Source organism: Homo sapiens, chromosome 15, assembly GCF_000001405.40.
Source record: "Homo sapiens chromosome 15, GRCh38.p14 Primary Assembly".
Taxonomy (NCBI): Eukaryota; Metazoa; Chordata; class Mammalia; order Primates; family Hominidae; genus Homo; species Homo sapiens.
This window is the reverse complement of record NC_000015.10, coordinates 21,095,661-21,116,237: the sequence shown is the minus strand read 5'-3', so window position 1 is coordinate 21,116,237 and position 20,577 is coordinate 21,095,661. Positions and strand designations below refer to the sequence as shown.

Here is a 20,577-nt window from a genome sequence, read left to right as displayed (position 1 = left end):
TAGCCAGGATGGTCTCAAACTCCTGACCTCAGGTGATCCACCCGCCTTGGCCTCCCAAAGTGCTGGGATTACAGGCATGAGCCACAGTGTAAGATACTGGCTATTAAAAAATAAATAAATATATATATTGCAACAGCTGATTTGTCTGGAAGAGTCTGGTCAGAAGACAGTGTATTAAGAAGACTGTGAGTCCCCAGAGGAATATAAGAATATACATCATGTTGATATATTATATATAACATAAATAGCTAACTACATCTGTGTATATAGTATAAACAAAAGTACAAAAATATTTGTATATAACTATATGTAATATAAATATATCAGTGTAAGATATTAGCTATTAAAAAATATATATATAGAGAGAGAGAGAGCAACCAGTGATTTGTCTGGAATATTCTAGTCAGAAGACAGTGTATTAAGAAGACAGTGAGTCCCCAGAAGAATATAAGGATATACATCATGTTAATATATTATATATAACATAAATACCTAACGACATCTGTATATATAGTATAAACATAAACTACAAAAATATTAGTATGTAACTATATGTAATATAAATATATCAGTGTAAGATATTAGCTATTAAAATATACATATGTGCGTATGTATGTGTATATGTGTATATAAATATTATATATATATATATAGTAACAGCTGATTTGTGTGGAAGACTTTGGTCAGAAGACAGTGTATTAAGAAGACAGTGGGTCCTCACAGGAAAATAAGAATATACATCATGTTTATATTACATATAACATAAACAACTAATTACATCTGTATATACAGCATAAACATAAAGTACAAAAATATTTGTATATAATCATATGTAATATAAATATACCAGTGTAAGATATTAGCTATTAAAATATACATGTGTGTATGTATGTGTATATGTGTATATATAATATATATATACATATATAACATATATAATATATGATATAGCATAATAATATAATATATTATATATAATATGTAATGTATATTATATAATTAATATATAATATATAATATATTCTATGCTATATAATATATTATATATTCTATGCAGTAAAATATATAGCATATATATATATATATATATATATATATATATATATATATAGCAACAGCTGATTTGTCTGGAAGAATTTGGTCAGAAGACAGTTTATTAAGACAGTGAGTCCCCAGAGAAATATAAGAATATACATCATGTTTATATTATATATAACATAAATAGCTAACTACATCTGTATATATAGCATAAACATAAAGTACAAAAATATTTATATATAATATAAATATATCAGTGTAAGATATTAGCTATTAAAAAAAATATATATATATATAGCAACCGGTGATTTGTCTGGAAGACTGGTCAGAAGACAGTGTATTAGGAAGACAGGCAGTCCCCGCAGGAAGCATGGTGCAGGTGGGATCTGGAGGTGACTCTGGGCTGCCAGAAGACGCCCTACTGCTTTGCGGCAGACACAGGTGGAGAGGTCCTCTCTGTAGCTTCAGCGTGGACACTGTGTGTGTCTTGTTGTGGGAACACTTCTTTCTGCTTCCCTCTCCACTGTGACCATCACACTCACTGACCTGCCCTCCTCCTTCCTCTCGCTCTCTGGGGCCCCTGTGGAAAGAGGGTCTTCCCTCCATGCAGCAGGAACCCCCAGGACCCTCCCCATTCTCCTGGGTTCTGAACTTCAGGGACATGTGATCCTACCTGACCGGGCACAGGCTCTGTTCACCCTCAGGAACCCCTGTCCTCCCAGGACACCGTGGACTGGAGAACTGGCCTCCTGAAAATCCAGAGAGAACTTAGCACTCACAACTTCTTTTTTTCTTTTTTCTTTGAGACGGGATCTTGCTCTGTCCCCCAGGCTGGAGTGCAATGGCATGATCTCAGCTCACTGCAACCTCCTCCTCCCAGGTTCAAGCAGTTCGTCCTGCCTCTGTCTCCCGAGTTTCTGGGATCATAGGTATCCACCCCTGCAGCCAACTAATTTCTGTATTTTTAGTAGAGACGGTGTTTCACCATGTTGGCCAGGCTGGTCTCGAACTCTTGACCTCAAGTGATCCACCCACCTCGGCCTCCCAAAGTACTGGGATGACATATATTAGCATGATGTATATTATTCTATTCCTCCGGGGACTCACTGTCTTCTTGGGCAGTAAACCACTGTGCCCGGACTTCTCTGTCCACATCTACACACGTCTAAACCTCTGTAGATTCTGAATTGTTTTTCCTTTGCACAGAATGAGAGGAACTGAAGTCGGGAGGCCCAGCCCCAACATGGTCCCTCTGGCTCTGTGCTCAGGTGGTTTATGGCTGACAAGGACTTGGGGGGTTGAGGGCTTCCTATCAGCCCAGGAGACATTACCCGGGTCTGGGAAGCCTGCTCTGCACTTGTGGGTCTCGAATTGTCTGTTGCATTTACCTGCCTCATTATTTTTTCTCCCTGTCTCTCTTCTTACATATTTCTTTCGAATTTGGAGCTTGTTTTTCTTAACTACAATCAACCTGAATCATTACTGCATATATAAATATAAATTTTATATTGAGTAGACATTATATACTCAATCTATTACACATTCCAACACGGGCCATATCTAAGATGAATATATTTAATGTTTAAAATATGTTTACATTTCATATGGAAAAATATATTTATATTTAATATATATGTGTATATTTAATACAGGAAATACATATTTATATTTAATATATAAAATATATATTTATATTTGACATAAAAATATATGTTTATATTTAATATGGGAAATATATGTTTATGTTTAATATACAAAATACATGTTAATATTTAATATAGACAATGTATAGTTATATTTACTATCCAAAATACATGTTTATATTTAATATAGAAAATGTTTATATTTAATGTACAGAATACATATTTATATTTAATATAGAAAATACATATTTATATTTAACATATACAGTATTTATATTTAATGTATAAAATATGTTTACATTTAATGTGCTGAATATATGCTTATATTTAATGTCTAAAATGTCTATATTTAATGTATTGTATACATTAAATGTACCAAATGTATTCTTATATTTAATGTATACAAGATGTTTATATTTAATGTATATGTTTACATTTAATGTATAAAATGTTTATGTTTGATGTATAAAAGATGTTTATATTTAATGTATACAATGTTTATATTTAATGTACCAAATATATTATATTTAATGTCCAAGCCACCCAGCCAGCCAAGCCAGCCAAGCCACACAGCCAGCCAAGACACCCAGCCAGCCAAGCCCGCCATGCCAGCCAGCCAGCCAAGACAGCCAGCCAGCCAAGCCAACCAAGCCACCCAGCCAGCCAAGCCAGCCAGCCAGCCAGCCAGCCAGCCAGTCAGGCAGCCAAGCCAGTGGGCCGCCCAGCCAGCCAAGCCAGCCAAGCCACCCAGCCAGCAAAGCCAGCCAAGCCACTCAGCCAGCCAAGCTGGCCAAGCCACCCAAACAGTCAAGCCAGCGAAGCCAACCATGCCAGTCAGCCAGCCAAGCCAGCCAGCCAGCCAAGCCAGCCAAGCAACCCAGCCAAGCCAACCAGCCAGCCAAGCAAGCCAAGCCCCCCAAGCCACCCAGCCAGCCACCCTAGCCAGCCAAGCCACCCAAGCCAGCCAAGCCAGACAAGCCACCCAGCCGGCCACCCTAGCCAGCCAAGCCACCTAAACCAGCCAAGCCAGCCAAGCCACCCAGCCACCCAGCCTAGCCAGCCAAGCCACCCAAGCCAGCCAAGCCAGCCAAGCCACCCAGCCACCCAGCCTAGCCAGCCAAGCCAGCCAAGCCAGCCAGCCCCCCAAGCCAGCCAAGCCAGCCAGCCACCCTAGCCAGCCAAGCCACCCAAGCCAGCCAAGCCAGCCAAGCCACCCAGCCACCCAGCCTAGCCAGCCAAGCCAGCCAAGCCAGCCAGCCCCCAAAGCCAGCCAAGCCAGCCAGCCACCCTAGCGAGCCAAGCCACCCAAGCCAGCCAAGCCAGCCAAGCCACCCAGCCAGCCAAGCCAGACAGCCACCCAGCCTAGCCAGCCAAGCCACCCAAGCCAGCCAAGCCAGCCAAGCCACCCAGCCAGCCAAGCCAGACAGCCACCCAGCCAGCCAAGCCAGCCAAGCCACCCAGCCAGCCAAGCCAGCCAAGGAAGCCAGCCAGCCAAGCCAGCCAAGCCACCCAGACAGCCAAGCCAGCCAAGCCACCCAGACAGCCAAGCCAGCGAAGCCAGGCAAGCCAGCCAAGCCACCCAAGCCAGCCAAGCCAGCCAAGCCACCTAGCCAGCCAAGCCAGCCAAGCCACCCAGACAGCCAAGCCAGCCAAGCCACCTAGCCAGCCAAGCCAGCGAAGCCACCCAGCCAGCCAAGCCAGCCAAGCCACCCAGCCAGCCAAGCCAGCCAGCCACCCAGCCAGCCAAGCCTGCCAAGCCACGCAGCCAGCCAAGCCACCCAGCCAGCCAAGCCAGCCAGCCACCCAGCCAGCCAAGCCAGCCAAACCACCCAGACAGCCAAGCCCGCCAGCCACCCAGTCAGCCAAGCCAGCCATGCCAGCCAGCCACACAAGACAGCCAGCCAGCCAAGCCAGCCAAGCCAGCCAGCCGTGTAAACCAGCCCAGCCGGCCAGCCAATCCAGCCAAGCCACCCAGCCACCCAAGCCAGCCAAGCCAGCCAAGCCACCCAGCCAGCCAAGCCAGCCAGGCACCCAGTCAGCCAAGCCAGCCATGCCAGCTAGAAAGCCAAGACAGCCAGCCAGCCAAGGCAGCCAACCCACTCAGCCAACCAAGCCAGCCAGCCAAGCTAGGCAAACCAGCCAGCCAGCCAAGCCACCCAGCCAGCCAAGCCAGCCAAGCCAGCCCAGCCAGCCAGCCAGCAAAGCCAGCCAAGCCAGCCAGCCAGCCAAGCCAGCCAAGGCAGCCAAGCCAGCCCAGCCAGCCAGCCAGCCAAGCCGGGCAAGCCAGCCAGCGAGCCCAGCCAGCCCAGCCAGCCCAGCCGGGCAAGCCAGCCAGCGAGCCCAGCCAGCCCAGCCAGTCAGCCAGCCAAACCAGACCACCAGCCAAGCCAGCCAGCCACCCAGCAAAGCCAGCCACCCAGCCAAGCCAGCCAAGAGAGCAAAGCCAGCCAAGCCGGTCAGTCAAGCCAGCCAAGCCAGCCAAGCCAGCCAACCAGCCAGACAGCCCAGCCAGCCAGACAGCACAGGCAGCTAAGCCAGACAAGCCAGCCAACCAGCCAGACAGCCCAGCCAGCCAGCCAGCACAGGCAGCCAAGCAAGCCATGCCAGCCAGCCAGCCAAGCCGGCCAAGACAGCCAGCCAGCCAACCCAGCCAAGCCAGCCAAGCCTGCCAGCCAGCCAAGCCAGCCAAGCCACCCAAGCCAGCCAGCCAAGCCGACCAAGCCAGCCAAGCCAGTAAGCCAGCCAAGCCAGCCAAGCCAGCCAGCCAGCCAAGCCAGCCAAGCCACCCAGCCAGGCAAGCCAGCCAAGCCACCCAGCCGGCCAAGCCACCCTGCTGGCCAAGCCAGCCAAGCCACCCAGCCAGCCAAGCCAGCCAGCCAGCCAGCCAAGCCAGCCAAGCCAATCAAGCAAGCCAAGCCAGCCAGCCAGCCAGGCCAGCCAAGCCACCTAGCCAGCCAAGCCAGCCAAGCCACCCAGCCAGCCAAGCCAGCCAAGCCACACAGCCAGCCAAGACACCCAGCCAGCCAAGCCCGCCAGCCACCCAGTCAGCCAAGCCAGCCATGCCAGCCAGCCAGCCAAGACAGCCAGCCAGCCAAGCCAACCAAGCCACCCAGCCAGCCAAGCCAGCCAGCCAGCCAGCCAGCCAGCCAGTCAGGCAGCCAAGCCAGTGGGCCGCCCAGCCAGCCAAGCCAGCCAAGCCACCCAGCCAGCAAAGCCAGCCAAGCCACTCAGCCAGCCAAGCTGGCCAAGCCACCCAAACAGTCAAGCCAGCGAAGCCAACCATGCCAGTCAGCCAGCCAAGCCAGCCAGCCAGCCCAGCCGGCCAAGCCAGCCAGCCAAGCCACCCAGCCACCCAAGCCAGCCAAGCCAGCCAAGCCACCCAGCCAGCCAAGCCAGCCAGGCACCCAGTCAGCCAAGCCAGCCATGCCAGCTAGAAAGCCAAGACAGCCAGCCAGCCAAGGCAGCCAACCCACCCAGCCAGCCAAGCCAGCCAGCCAAGCTAGGCAAACCAGCCAGCCAGCCAAGCCACCCAGCCAGCCAAGCCAGCCAAGCCAGCCCAGCCAGCCAGCCAGCAAAGCCGGGCAAGCCAGCCAGCGAGCCCAGCCAGCCCAGCCAGCCAAGCTGGGCAAGCCAGCCAGCGAGCCCAGCCAGCCCAGCCAGTCAGCCAGCCAAACCAGACCACCAGCCAAGCCAGCCAGCCACCCAGCAAAGCCAGCCACCCAGCCAAGCCAGCCAAGAGAGCAAAGCCAGCCAAGCCGGTCAGTCAAGCCAGCCAAGCCAGCCAAGCCAGCCAACCAGCCAGACAGCCCAGCCAGCCAGCCAGCACAGGCAGCTAAGCCAGACAAGCCAGCCAACCAGCCAGACAGCCCAGCCAGCCAGCCAGCACAGGCAGCCAAGCAAGCCAAGCCGGCCAAGACAGCCAGCCAGCCAACCCAGCCAAGCCAGCCAAGCCTGCCAGCCAGCCAAGCCAGCCAAGCCACCCAAGCCAGCCAGCCAAGCCGACCAAGCCAGCCAAGCCAGTAAGCCAGAAAAGCCAGGCAAGCCTGCCAGCCGGCCAAGCCAGCCAAGCCAGCCAAGCCAGCCAAGCCAGCCAGCCAAGCCAGACAAGCCAGCCAGCCAGCCAAGCCAGCCAAGCCAGCCAGCCAAGCCAGCGAAGCCAACCATGCCAGTCAGCCAGCCAAGCCAGCCAGCCAGCCAAGCCAGCCAAGCCAGCCAAGCCAGCCAGCCCCCTAAGCCACCCAGCCAGCCACCCTAGCCAGCCAAGCCACCCAAGCCAGCCAAGCCAGCCAAGCCACCCAGCCAGCCACCCTAGCCAGCCAAGCCACCCAAGCCACCCAAGCCAGCCAAGCCACCCAGCCACCCAGCCTAGCCAGCCAAGCCACCCAAGCCAGCCAAGCCAGCCAAGCCACCCAGCCACCCAGCCTAGCCAGCCAAGCCAGCCAAGCCAGCCAGCCCCCCAAGCCAGCCAAGCCAGCCAGCCACCCTAGCCAGCCAAGCCACCCAAGCCAGCCAAGCCAGCCAAGCCAACCTGCCAGCCAAGCCAGACAGCCACCCAGCCTAGCCAGCCAAGCCACCCAAGCCAGCCAAGCCAGCCAGGCACCCAGTCAGCCAGCCAAGCCAGCCATGCCAGCTAGAAAGCCAAGACAGCCAGCCAGCCAAGCCAGTCAAGCCACCCAGCCAGCCAAGCCAGCCAGCCACCCAGCCAGCCAAGCCAGCCAGCCACCGAGGCAGCCAAGCCAGCCAGCCAACCAAGCCGGCCAAGCCACCCAGCCATCCAAGCCGGCCAAGCCACCCAAACAGTCAAGCCAGCGAAGCCAGCCAAGCCAGTCAGCCAGCGAAGCCAACCAAGCCAGCCAGCCAGCCAAGCCACCCAGACAGCCAAGCAAGCCAAGCCAGCCAGCCATCCAAGCCAGCCAAGCCAGCCAAGCCAGCCAGCCCACCAACCCAGCCAAGCCACCCATCCAGCCAAGCCAGCTAGCCAGCCAAGCCACCCAAACCAGCCAAGCCAGCCAGCCATCCAAGCCAGCCAAGCCAGCCAGCCAGCCTAGCCAGCCAAGACACCCAAGCCAGCCAAGCCAGCCAAGACACCCAGCTGGCCAAGCCAGCCAGCCACCCAGCCAGCCAAGCCAGCCAAGCCAGCCAAGCCAGGCAAGCTAGCCAAGCCAGCCAAGCCAGCCAGCCAGCCAAGCCAGCCTAGCCACCCATCCTGCCAAGCCAGCCAAGCCACCCAGCCAGCCAAGCCACCCAAGCCACCCAGCCAGCCAAGCCAGTCAAGCCACCCAGCCGGACAAGCCGGCCAAGCCAGCCAGCCAGCCAAGCCGGCCAAGCCTGCCAGCCAGCCAAGCCGGCCAAACCAGGCAAGCCAGCCAATCCAGCCAAGCCTGCCAGAGAGCCAATCCAGCCAAGCCTGCCAGAGAGCCAAGCCAGCCAAGCCAGCCAAGCCACCCAGCCAGCCAAGTCAGCCAGCCACCCAGCCAGCCAAGCCAGCCAGCCACCCAGGCCGGCCAAGCCAGCCAGCCAGCCAAGCCGGCCAAGCCACCCAGCCAGCCAAGCCGGTCAAGCCACCTAGTCAGCCAAGCCAGCCATGCCAGCCAGCCAGCCAAGACAGCCAGCCAGCCAAGCCACCCAAGCCACCCAGCCAGCCAAGCGAGCCAGCCATGCTAGCCAAGCCAGCCAGCCAGCCAAGCCATCCAGGCCAGCCAATCCAGCCAAGCCTGCCAGCCAGCCAAGGTAGCCAAGCCAGCCATTCCAGCCAAGCCTGCCAGCCAGCCAAGCCAGCCAAGCCAGCCAGCCAGCCAGCCAAGCCAGCCAAGCCACCCAGCCAGCCAATCCAGCCAAGCCTGCCAGCCAGCCAAGGTAGCCAAGCCGGCCAGCCAGCCAAGCCAGCCAAGCCACCCAGCCAGCCAAGCCAGCCAAGCCAGCCAGCCAACCAAGCCAGCCAAGCCAGCCATTCCAGCCAAGCCTGCCAGCCAGCCAAGCCAGCCAAGCCAGCCATTCCAGCCAAGCCTGCCAGCCAGCCAAGCCAGCCAATCCAGTCATTCCAGCCAAGCCTGCCAGCCAGCCAAGCCAGCCAAGCCAGCCAGCCAGCCAGCCAAGCCAGCCAAGCCACCCAGCCACCGAAGCCAGCCAGCCAGCCAGCCAAGCCACCCAGCCAAGCCAGCCAGCCAGCCCAGCCACCCAAGCCACCCAGCCACACTCCATCTGAAAAAAAGAAGCACTCCATCCAGCCTGGGCAGTAGAGCGAGAGTCCATCTCCAAAAAAAAAAAAACAAAACAAAACACCAGCCTGGCCAATATAGTGGAACCCCGTCTCTAATAAATATACAAAAAAATCAGCTGGGCGTGGTGGCACACGCCTGTAATCCCAGCTACTTGGGAGGCCCAGGCAGGAAGATCTGTTGAACCCGGGAGGTGGAGGTCGCAGCGAACCAAGATTGCACCACTGCACTCCAGCCTGGGCAACAGGGCGAGACTCCCTCTCAGAAAAAAAAAAAAAAAAAAAAAAAAAAAAAGACCAGCCTGGCCAACTTGGTGAAACCTCGTCTCTACTAAATATACAAAGAAATTAGCTGGGCGTGGTGGCACACACCTGTAATCCCAGCTACTCAGGAGGCCCAGGCAGGAGGATCGCTTGAACCCGGGAAGTGGAGGCTGCAGCAAGCCAAGATTGCACAACTGTACTCCAGCCTCGGCAACAGAGTGAGACTCCATCTGAAAAAAAAGAAGCACTCCATCCAGCCTGGGCAGTAAAGCGAGATTCCATCTCCAAAAAAAAAAAAAAACCAAAAAAAAAAAAAAAAAACACACCAGCCTGGCCAACATGGTGAAACCCCGTCTCTACTAAATATACAAAAAAATTAGCTGGGCGTGGTGGCACAGGCCTGTAATCCCAGCTACTCGGGAGGCCCAGGCAGGAGGATCACTTGAACCCAGGAGGTGGAGGCTGCAGCGAGCCAAGATTGCGCCACTGTACTCCAGCCTGGGCAACAGAGTGAGACTCCATTTCAAAAAAAAGAAGCACTCCAGCCTGGGCAACAGAGTGAGACTCCATCTGAAAAAAAGAAGCACTCCAGCCTCGGCAATAGAGCAAGACTCCATCTCAAAAAAATAAGAGAAACACCAGCCTGGCCAACATAGCGGAACCCTGTCTCTAATAAATATACAAAAAAATTAGCTGGGCATGGTGGCACATGCCTGTAATCCCAGCTACTCAGGAGGCCCAAGCAGGAGGATCGCTTGAACCCTGGAGGTGGAGGTTGCAGTGCACCAAGATTGCACAACTGCACTCCAGCCTGGACAACAGAGCCAGACTCCATCTCAGAAAAAAAAGAAAAAAGAAAAAAAGACCAGCCTGGCCAACATGGTGAAACCCCGTCTCTACTAAATATACAACAAAATTAGCTGGGCGTGCTGGCACACGCCTGTAACCCCAGGTACTCAGGAGGCCCAGGCAGGAGGATCGCTTGAACCCGGGAGGTGGAGGTTTCAGCGAACCAAGATTGCACCTCTGCACTCCAGCCTGGGCAACAGAGCAAGATTCCATCTCAGAAAAACAAAACAAACAAACAAACAAAAAAAAGACCAGCCAGGTCAACATGGTGAAACCCCGTCTCTACTAAATATACAAGAAAATTAGCTGGGCGTGCTGGCACACGCCTGTAACCCCAGCTACTCGGGAGGCCCAGGGAGGAGAATTGCTTGAACCCGGGAGTTGGAGGTTGCAGCGAACGAAGATTGCACCACTGCACTCCAGCCTGGGCAACAGAGCAAGATTCCATCTGAGAAAAAAAAAAAAAAGACCAGGTTGGCAAACATGGTGAAAACCCGTCTCTACTAAATATACAAGAAAATTAGCTGGGCTAATTTTAGTTATCACATCTGTAAAATGGCACTAAGTTACAGGGATATTGTCCAGATGAATGTGTCTGGTACATAGTAGCAATAAAAAAGACGTTAGCTGGCCAGGCATGGTGGCTCACGCCTGTTATCCTAACAATTTGGGAGGCCAAGGAGGGTGGATCACTTGAGGCCAGGAGTAGGAGACCAGCCTGGCCAACACAGTGAAACACTGTCTCTACTAAAAATACAAAAATTAGCTGGCGAAGTGGCTTGTGCCTGTAATCCCAGCTACATGGGAGGCTGAGGCAGGAGAATTGCTTGAATCTGGGAAGTGGAGGTTGAAGTGAGCTGAGATTGGGCCATGGCACTCCAGCCTGGGCGACAGAGCGAGATTCTGTCTCAAAAAAAGGGAAACATTAGCTAACATTACCCTCAGCATGGATATTCCTACCAGTCTGATGTTCTGTTTTAGGTACTTAGTACCATAATAGCCTCATTGTTGGAGCACTGACTATGTTCCAGGTACTACGCTAAGTGCTTCACAAGCATTGTTTCATTTCATCCTCCCAACATCTCTCAAATAGGTACTAGCACTGTCCTCACTATTCAGGGGAGAAGTCTGCAGTTCAGAGGGGTGAAGTGATTCCTCTAAGACTGCATAACTTGTAAGTGGCAGAGCTAGGACCTGTCAGACTCTAAGAGCTTCATACCACACCTACAGGAAATATCTAGCAGCCAGTTCCATGCTCAGTTTCTTGAAGCATGAGATTCCAGGCCCCTAATATGGCACATAACTGTGGGCAGTAGAGGCCTCAATTCTCCCATCTGAACCATGAGGAAGGTCCCCCCGCCCTGAATCCCCTACAGGGCTGAGAGGAGGGCTCTAGAAACCTTGAAAAGGACTTTGTAGACTCTGAGCTGGGCACCCTCAAAGGCTTGGTTAGGAAGGAGACAAGAGAAAGAATTAATCCACTTCCTGCCAAGGAAGCCAAGAGCTGAAGGAGAAATGGTCCGTGTCCTCCTCCAGGGCCTGCCCCTTAGCATGGTTCCTCCCTGTTAGGAGGGTTAAGAACTTGGCCAAGTCTCAGCTCCACTCATCTCTGGCTGTATGTTCTTTGTACTTCCCCTCTCTGAGTGTCGGGCTTCTCAACTGTGAAATGGGGGTGATAATGATAACAGCCTTACCAGGACTGTAGTAAGGACAAGCCTTGGCCCATCGGTTCATTGTCTTAGTCTGCTCCTGTTGTTATAACAAAATACCTCAGACTCAGTAATATATAAACAACAGAAATATGTTGCTCATAGTTCTAGAGGCCGAGAAATCCACGAACAAGGCGTCAGTAGATTGGGTGTCAATGAGGGCCTGTTCCTCATAGAGGACGTCTTCTATGTGTCCTTACATGGTAGAAGGGGTGAACAAACTCCCTCAGGCTTCTTTTATAAGGGCACTAATCCCATTTATAAGGATGGAGCTTCATGAAGTGATCGCCCCCAAAAGTCCCACCTCTTAATACTACCACATTGCAGATTATGTTTCAATATATAAATTGGAGGAGACACATTGAGACACATGGATATTGGTTGAATAATTATCTTTTTTTTAATTTTTTTATTATTTTTTGAGACAGAGTCTTACTCTGTTGCCTAGACTGGAGTGCAATGGCACGATCTTGGCTCACTGCAACCTCTACCTCCTGGATTCAAGTGATTCTTCTGTCTCAGCCTCCCAAGTGTCTGGTATTACAGATGCATGCCACCACGCCTGGCTGATTTTTGCATTATTAGTAGAGGCAGGGTTTCACCATGTTGGCCAGGCTGGTCTCAAACTCCTGACTTCAAGTGATCCACCCACCTCGGCCTCCCAAAGTGCTGGGATTACAGGCATGAGCCACCATGCCTGCCCTGAATAATTATCTTTTGACACCTGGTCTGCAATTCTCATGGAGTTTCCGGTCTGGAAGAAGAGTCTGTATGTAATGTGTTTGGCACAGGTAGGTGCCCAATGGGTGGGTAGATGGATGGATGGATGGATGGGTGGATGGATGAGATGAGTGACTTACTGCAGGTCTCACAGTTATAAAGTAACTCTTCCTGATAGCTCACACTGGCCACCAAAGACACATTAAACACTGATTTGAGAGGTACTCCGTGGACCAAATTACATGAGCAAAGTCTTAGAATTAGGAATTATTGCAGCATGGATGAGAGGCACTCATTTTATGTTCTCTTTCAGTATTTTTCCCAACAAGATCCTGAGAAGGAGGATCTGGATGGAGGTTCTGCCAGAGCCCCCTGGAGCAGAGCCAGGAGGTTGAGTAGGGAGTTGCGCCCCACAGCCCATATGAGCAGGCAGGAGCAGGCCAAGCCTGAGGGTTGGGCCTCAGAGGCCTGGTCTGGCCGTATTTGGTTTTCAAGGAACTGGAAGGCTTCTCACCTCCTCTGCTGTCCAGGCACAGAAGCAAAGCCACCCACAGTTGCTGAGTCAGGGAGGCCCCTAGGGCAGGAACAGAGGCCCCACAACGGGGTAACTTGAACACAGTGGTTCAGAGCCTGGTCTCTTAGTGTCAAGAAGATATGGTGCCGGGAACAGTGGTGTGTCCCTGTGGTTCCTGCTCCTCAGAAGGCTGAGGCAGGAGGATAAGCCTAGGGATTCTTGAGCCCAAGAGTTCTAGGCTGTAGTGTGCTATATTGATCGAGTGTCTGTGCTAAGTTCAGCTTCAATATGTGACCTCCTGTAAGCAAGGGTGTCTAAGGAGGGGTGAACAGGCCCAGGATGAAAATGGAGCAGGTCAAAACTGTGCTGATCAGTGGAGGGATTGTGACTGTGAATAGCCACTGCATTCCACCCTAGACAACATAGTGAGACTCCGTCTCTAAAAGCAAATAAATAGGCTGGGTGCAGTGGGCTCACGCCTGTAATCCCAGCACTTTAGGAGGCCAAGGTGGGCGGATCACTTGAGGTCAGGAGTTCAAGACCAGCCTGGCCAATATGGCGAAACCCTGTCTTTACTAAAAATATAAAAATTAGCTGGTCATGATTTCATGTGCCTGTGGTCCCAGCTACTCAGGAGGCTAAGGCAGGAGAATCACTTGAACCTGGGAGGCAGAGGTTGCAGTGAGCCGAGATCACATCACTGCACTGCAGCCTGGGCAATGAGTGAGAACCTATCTCAAAAAAAAAAAAAAATTAAATTTAAAAATGTAAGTAAATAAGTAAATAAATAAATAAATAAATAAATAAATAAATAAAAGCTGTGGGTTCAAATCCTGCTCAACAACCAATAGCTGTGTGCCTGGCCTACATATCACCTATCAGAGCCTTTGTTTTTTTAATCTGTAAAAACAACAAAAATAGCAGTAAAAACAAGCACCATTACTGAGTTCATTATGTACAAGCCTCTGCTAAGCACCTTACCTGCATTATCTTATTTAATTGTCATCACAGTAAACAAGTTTTATTATTGTCCTCGTGAAACAAAATACATGAGAACAGTGTCTCTCATCCATGCTGCCATAATTTCTAACCCAAGCCGTTGCTCATGCAGTCCCATCTACCTGGAGTGTATCTCTCTTTTTTTTTTTTGGAGACGGAGTCTTGCTCTGTCTCCAGCTGGAGTGCAGTGGCACAATCTTTGCTCACTGCAGCCTCTGCCTCCCGGGTTCCAGAGATTCTCCTGCCTCAGCCTCCCGAGTAGCTGGGATTACAGGCAAGTGCCACCACACCTGGCTAATTTTTGTATTTTTAATAGAGTCGGGGTTTCACCATGTTGGCCAGGCTGGTCTCAAACTCCTGTCTTCAGATGAGCCACCTACCTCGGCCTCCCAAAGTGCTAGGATTACAGGCATGAGCCACTGCGCCCAGCATGTAACCAACTCTTATGCAACCTTCAGTGTTCAGTGTAAGGTAACCAAAAAGTTACTTCCTGACTCTGAGACCTGGATTTCCAAATGAGGAAGCTGAGGCACACAGGGTGAGATCACATTCAAGTAAGAGACAGAGCTAGAGGCTGGGTGCAGTGGCTCACACCTGTAATCACAGCACTTTGGGAGGCTGAGGCGGGTGGATCACCTGAGGTCGGGAGTTTGAGACCAGCCTGATCAACATGGAGAAACCCCGTCTCTACTAAAAATACAAAATTAGCTGGGCATGGTGGCGCATGCCTGTAATCCCAGCTACTCGGGAGGCCGAGGCAGGAGAATCGCTTGAACCCGGGAGGTGGATCCCAGCTAGTCAGGAGGCTGAGGCAGGAGAATCGCTTGAACCCGGGAGGTGGAGGTTGCCGTGAGCCGAGATCACGCCATTGCACTTTACCCTGGGCAACAAGAGTGAAACTCCGTCTCAAAAAAAAAAAAAAAGACAGAGCTAGGAAGTGCTTACAACTTCCTCATGCTTACCTACATTTCAATTTCTGTTATTGAATCTTTTCCCCCTCAAATATACCCTATCAGCTTCTATTTTATTTTTATTTTTTGTGATGGAGTCTTGCTCTGTTGCTCAGGCTGGAGTGCAGTGGTGCGATCTTGGCTCACTGCAACCTCCACCTCCCACGTTCAAGCGATTCTTCTGCCTCAGCCTCCTGAGTAGCTGGAATTACAGGCACATGCAATGACACTGGGCTAATTTTTGTATTTTTAGTAGAGATGTGGTTTCACCATGTTGGCCAGGCTGGTCTCAAACTCCTGACCTCAGGTGATTCACCCACCTCAGCCTCCCAAAGTGCTGGGATTACAGACGTGAGCCACCGCGCCTGGCCTACATTTTTTTTTAAGTGCTGTCAAATGCATACCTTCTACTTTTCTTCAATAAATGTCAACTCTTTACCCATTATGTGCCAGTCCCTGTGGGGTGTGCCAAGCAGAAAAAGCACTGATCTAAGATGTGTGGCTCAGTTATGTGTAGATCCATGACCTTGCTGGGCTTTAGGATCCTTATCTATAAAATGGATATCATTATATCTTACCAGTAAGAACTGCTGAGGATAAAGGCAGACCGTACTTGTGAAAGTGTTCTGTAATACAAACTAGGGTTGTTCATTTTCCTTCTGCAGTGCTCAGCTCTGGCCTCACCTCTCCTGTTTGCATTTTCCGTTTCCTTCCTGCCTGTGTTCAGGCCTGCAGACTTCTGTCTGTCCTCCCTGGTCTAACTCCCTTATCCTACTTGCCAAGCCTTACTGTGATGTCATTTAATAAATTCTGGAGACACAAGGAGTGCCTCGTAGAGATGGACAATTTCCTTCAGTAGTCTCCTGCTGTTTTTAGAGTTGCCTCCAGGTGCCTGGGCCTGTGGGTGTTGGGCAGGAGAACCCTCCTCCCATGGCAGAAATAAGTGGGAGAAGTAGGGATTGCCTTCCTCCAATAATAATGCTTTGGCCCTAAAAACGAAACTCTTGAACCCCATAGAATATTTTATTTTATTTTTTTGAGACAGAGTCTCACTCTGTCACCCAGACTGGAGTACAGTTGCACGATCTTGGTTCACACAATCTCTACCTCCCAGATTCAAGCAATTCTCATGCCTCAGCCTCCCAAGCAGCTGGGACTACAGTGATGCACCACCACGCCTGGCTAATTTTTGTATTTTTAGTAGAGATGGGGTTTCACCGTGTTACCATGCTGGTGTCGAACTCCTGGCTTCAAGTGATCCGCCCTCCTTGGCCTCCCAAAGTGCTGGGATTACAGGTATGAGCCACCATGCCCGGCCAAACCCCATAGAATATTGAAGAAGCCCAAATGGATACTTGTGTCTTACTGAGTGGACAAACTTTAAAGTTACTTCAAAACATGAAAGGATGACTTGCTCCATATCAAACCTCCTAATTAATCCAACAGCAATTTTATTTTATTTTGTTTTATTTTATTTTTTGAGACAGGGTCTTGCTCTGTTGCCCAGGCTGGAGTGCAGTGGCACAATCACAGCTCACTGCAGCCTCAACCTCTTAGGCTGAAGTGATCCTCCCAGCTCAGTTTCCTGAGTAGCTGGGACTACAGGTGTATGCCACCATGCCTGGCTAATTTTTGTATTTTTTTGTAAAGACAGAGTTTTGCCATGTTGCCGAGGCCGCTCTTGAACTCCTAAGCTCAAGCAATCCACCGACCTCGTCCTGCCAAAGTGCTGGGATTACAGGTGTGAGCCACCACACCTGGTCTGCAATTTTTATCTAAGGCAGGATTTACTGATTTATTTAGAGACAGAGTCTGTCTCTGTTGCCCAGGCTGGAGTGCAGTGGTGTGATCATGACTCAGTGCAAGCTTAAACTCCTGGACTCAAACAATCTTCCTACTTCAGCCTCTTGAGTAGCTGGGACTACAGGCACACACCACCATGCCCAGAAAGGTTGTTTTTTTTTTTTGACATGGAGTCTTGCTCTGTCATCAGGCTGGAGTGCAGTGGCATGATCTTAGCTCGCTGCAATCTCCACCTCCCAGGTTCAAGCAATTCTCCTGCCTCAGCCTCCTGAGTAGCTGGGACTACAGGTGAGTGCCACCACACCGAGCTAATTTTTGTATTTTTAGTGGAGATGGGGTTTCACCATGTCGGCCAGGATGATCTTGATCTCTTGACCTCGTGATCCTCCCCCTTAGGCCTCCCAAAGTGCTGGGATTACAGGCATGAGACACCAAGCCCGGCACACCTGCTTCTTCTTTTTTTTTTTTTTTGAGACAAGTCTTGCTCTGTTGCCCAGGCTGGAGTGCAGTGGCACGATCTTGGCTCACTGCAAGCTCTGCCTCCTGGGTTCATGCCATCCTCCTGCCTCAGCCTCCTGAGTAGCTGGGACTACAGGCGCCGGCCACCATGCCCGGTGAATTTTTTTTTGTATTTTTAGTAGAGACAGGGTTTCACCGTGTTAGCCAGAATGGTTTCGATCTCCTGACCTTGTGATCCGCCTGCCTCAGCCTCCCAAAGTGCTGGGATTACAGGCGTGAACCACCGCACCCGGCCCACACCTGCTTCTTAAAGGACCAAGTCCTGGCTGGGCTCAGTGGCTCATGCCTATAATCCCAGCACTTTGGGAGGCCGAGGTGGGCAGATCTCTTGAGTCCAAGAGTTTAAGACCAGCCTGGGCATAGTGAAATCTCATCTCTACAAACCATTAAAAAATGTTTTGGCCAGGCATGGTGGCTCACATTTGTAATCCCAGCACTTTGGGAGGCCGAGGCATGTGGATCACCTGAGGTCAGGAGTTTGAGACCAATAGGCCAATATGGTGAAACCCCATCTCTATTAAAAATACAAAATTTAGCTGGGTGTGGTGGTGGACGCCTGTAATCCCAGCTACTCGGGAGGCTGAGGCAGGAGAATCACTTGAACCTGGGAGGTGGAGGTTGCAGTGAGCCAAGACCGTGCCATTGCACTCTAGCCTGGGTGACAAAAGTGAAACTCCATCTCAAAAAAAAAAATGTTTTAAAGGGACCAAGTCCTTTTAGGGGAGCTTCTGATCATTTAAATCTCCAATAACAGAAGAGGTTTTCAAATGTTACCCCGGGGATTCCTCATTGCCCGCTCCCAGTATTTTCCAAGAAAGACCTGAGGCTCCTTTCTGAGCTTCATTCCCTTGTTCTCCTCCCAGCCCCTCAGCTGTCTTTTGTACCAATTGGGTAGTTATTAATTGCTCCCTAATTGCAAATTGGCTGCCTCCTTACTGGCTCCCACCCATGCTGGCTGGCTGACCCAGGGGTCACATGCATCCTTCAGGGAAAGCTGTTTTGTGAATCCAGTGGTTCAGTTGTTCCACACATGTGTGTTGAGCCCCTTCGTTGATGCCAGATCCTTTCTAGGTCCTGGGGACCCTGTTGAGCGAGACAAACCCAAGTCCCTGGCTTCTCAGAGCTCACAGTCTAGCAGGAGACAACAAAAAAATTAATCATTTCCGATCGTCAGTGCTGTGATGGGGAGTAATTACAGTACAGAGTAATTTTGGGGAGCTTCAGATACGTGCTCTGGGAAGACTTTTCTAAGGAGGTGACGTGTGAGTTAAGATCTGAATGGTAATCCGGAGCCAGCCAGAGTGAAGATGAGGTCGAAGAGCACAGTCCCGGGGGAGAAGAAAGCAAAGGCAGAGGCCAGGTGAGAGGAAGCAGCATGGCCTCTCTCAGGGGCATTCATTTCATCTATGAAGCCCTAAGGGATTCTGAAGTCAAACATCAGGTTGGGGCTAGTTGTAAGGTTTAGGGCAAAACACCCCTCCTACTCCCTGTTGTTAGAGACCAGAGGCGGCGTTTGCCCCCACCTGGCCCCGCTCCAGAAGGAGGGGTTATTATACGTCTGATTGAATCAGCTTCCAGCATCCTTATTGGTCCTTGGAGGTAATTAGGGCACTGTCGCTTCAAAGTCCCAAATTCAGGCGCCCCACTGGGGACTACAGTGACCGCTCCCCACCCCACCCACCGCAAGCTCAGAGGTTGGAGAGAACTGCCTCCCCGAAGGAACCCAGACCCAGGCTTGAGACTTTGCAAAGAGACACAAGATGCGGGTTGCCATGTGAAGTTTCCGGATTTTTTAAAATGTTAGAACGATGAATTGGAAAAGCTTTAAAACACTGCACAGGCCAAACAACATGTCTATGGGCAGGACCTGGCCAGCTGGCCTGGGTGCGGTGGGGCTTGGTGAATGCCTAGAGGTAGGGATGAGGGAGAGAAGGAGTCAGGAAGGATGCTAACTGCATCCTGGACTCTGGGACACCCATGCCCTGGCAGAGATGTGCCCTAAGAGGAACGAACTCACGGCCACAGGCACAGATTGAGCATCTACTGTGTGCATGGCTCTGTGCTAGGATGGGGGATACAAAACACTTCAGAGGACTGCACCTTCGCTCAGGGCTGGATGGGCCAACCTCAGGAAACCTGGGTTCCAGCCTTGACTTGCTCTCCTATAATTGCTGTGTGAACTTGGGTTGAGTCATCATCTCTCTGGGATTCAGCACACAGCCTTTGTTGACATTAGATTAACTAAATCCAGTAAGGGAAGATTTTGAAGGGCCTCTGGGTGTCTGGATAGGGAATCTGGGCTGGGTCTAATAGGAAGTAGGAACCACCCCAGGTTCTTGAGCAGGGGAGTGACATGTTTAAGAGGAAAGTGAAGCAGGCCACCTGTGCAGAGACACACATCATCCAGGTGTGGGGTAGTGACGACAGCAACTAAAGCGTATGCAAATCAGATCTCATCACCTCTAGCTCAAAAACCTTCCATGGGTCCCTGCAGCCCTCACATGAAAGTCCTTTCCTCTTACTATGGTCCATGAGCAGGGCCAGCTTCATGCAATGAAGGGTCAGTGTAATGCTCTGCTGTCACTATCTTGAAATACTTAATAATTTTTGAACAAGGAGCTCCTTTTTCTCATTTTGCACCAGGTCCTGCAAATTATGAAGGTTCCCACAGGGGCCTTTCAGTCTGGGCCTTTTCCCCTCTCCCCATCCAAACCCCACTTCTCCCTTACCCTTCATACTTCACTCACGTTGGTCTTCCATCAGTTTCTGGAGATTGTTCCTGCCTTGGGACATTTGCGTAGTCTGTTCCCCTTGCCTGGAACACCCCCACCCCCACGTCGAGACCAACTTAGTTTTTTGTTCAACAATTTCTTATCTTCCAGACTTGAGCATAATTATCTCCTGAGAGATAACTCCTCTGGCCTCCCAGAACTACCTGTTCAAAACAAAACTTTAAAAATTATTTAAGCCAGCCAGGCACGATGGCTCATGCCTGTAATCCCAGCACTTTGGGAGGCCCAGGTGGGCGGATCACTTGAGGTCAGGGGTTCAAGACCAGCCTGGCCAACATCATGAAACCCCGTCTCTACTAAAAATACAAAAATTAACCGGGTGTGGTGGAATGCACCTGTAGTCCCAGCTACTTGGGAGGCTGAGGCAGGAGGATTGCTTGAACCCGGGAAGCAGAGGTTGCAGGGAGCTGAGATCACGCCACTGCACTCCAGCCTGGGCGACAGAGTAAAACTCTGTCTCAAAAAAAAAAAAAAAAGAAAAAAAGATTTAAGCCTGAGTGCAGTGGGTCACTCCTGTAATCCCAATACTTTGGGAGGCAAGGCAGGAGTATTGCTGAGGC

At 51.0% G+C, this 20,577-nt stretch overlaps 1 pseudogene, besides 2 other annotated features; it reads left to right on the top strand.

Moving 5' to 3' along the window:
• Window positions 3,357-4,042: an enhancer, noted in NCBI's record as "H3K27ac-H3K4me1 hESC enhancer chr15:21317525-21318210 (GRCh37/hg19 assembly coordinates)". NCBI's record gives its function as "activates a minimal SCP1, AML or CMV promoter by ChIP-STARR-seq in primed H9 embryonic stem cells {active_cell/tissue: H9 hESC(primed)}" and the evidence as "EXISTENCE:reporter gene assay evidence [ECO:0000049][PMID:30033119]".
• Window positions 5,419-6,106: an enhancer, noted in NCBI's record as "H3K27ac-H3K4me1 hESC enhancer chr15:21315461-21316148 (GRCh37/hg19 assembly coordinates)". NCBI's record gives its function as "activates a minimal SCP1, AML or CMV promoter by ChIP-STARR-seq in primed H9 embryonic stem cells {active_cell/tissue: H9 hESC(primed)}" and the evidence as "EXISTENCE:reporter gene assay evidence [ECO:0000049][PMID:30033119]".
• RN7SL400P (RNA, 7SL, cytoplasmic 400, pseudogene) lies at window positions 13,100-13,395 on the top strand (annotated as a pseudogene).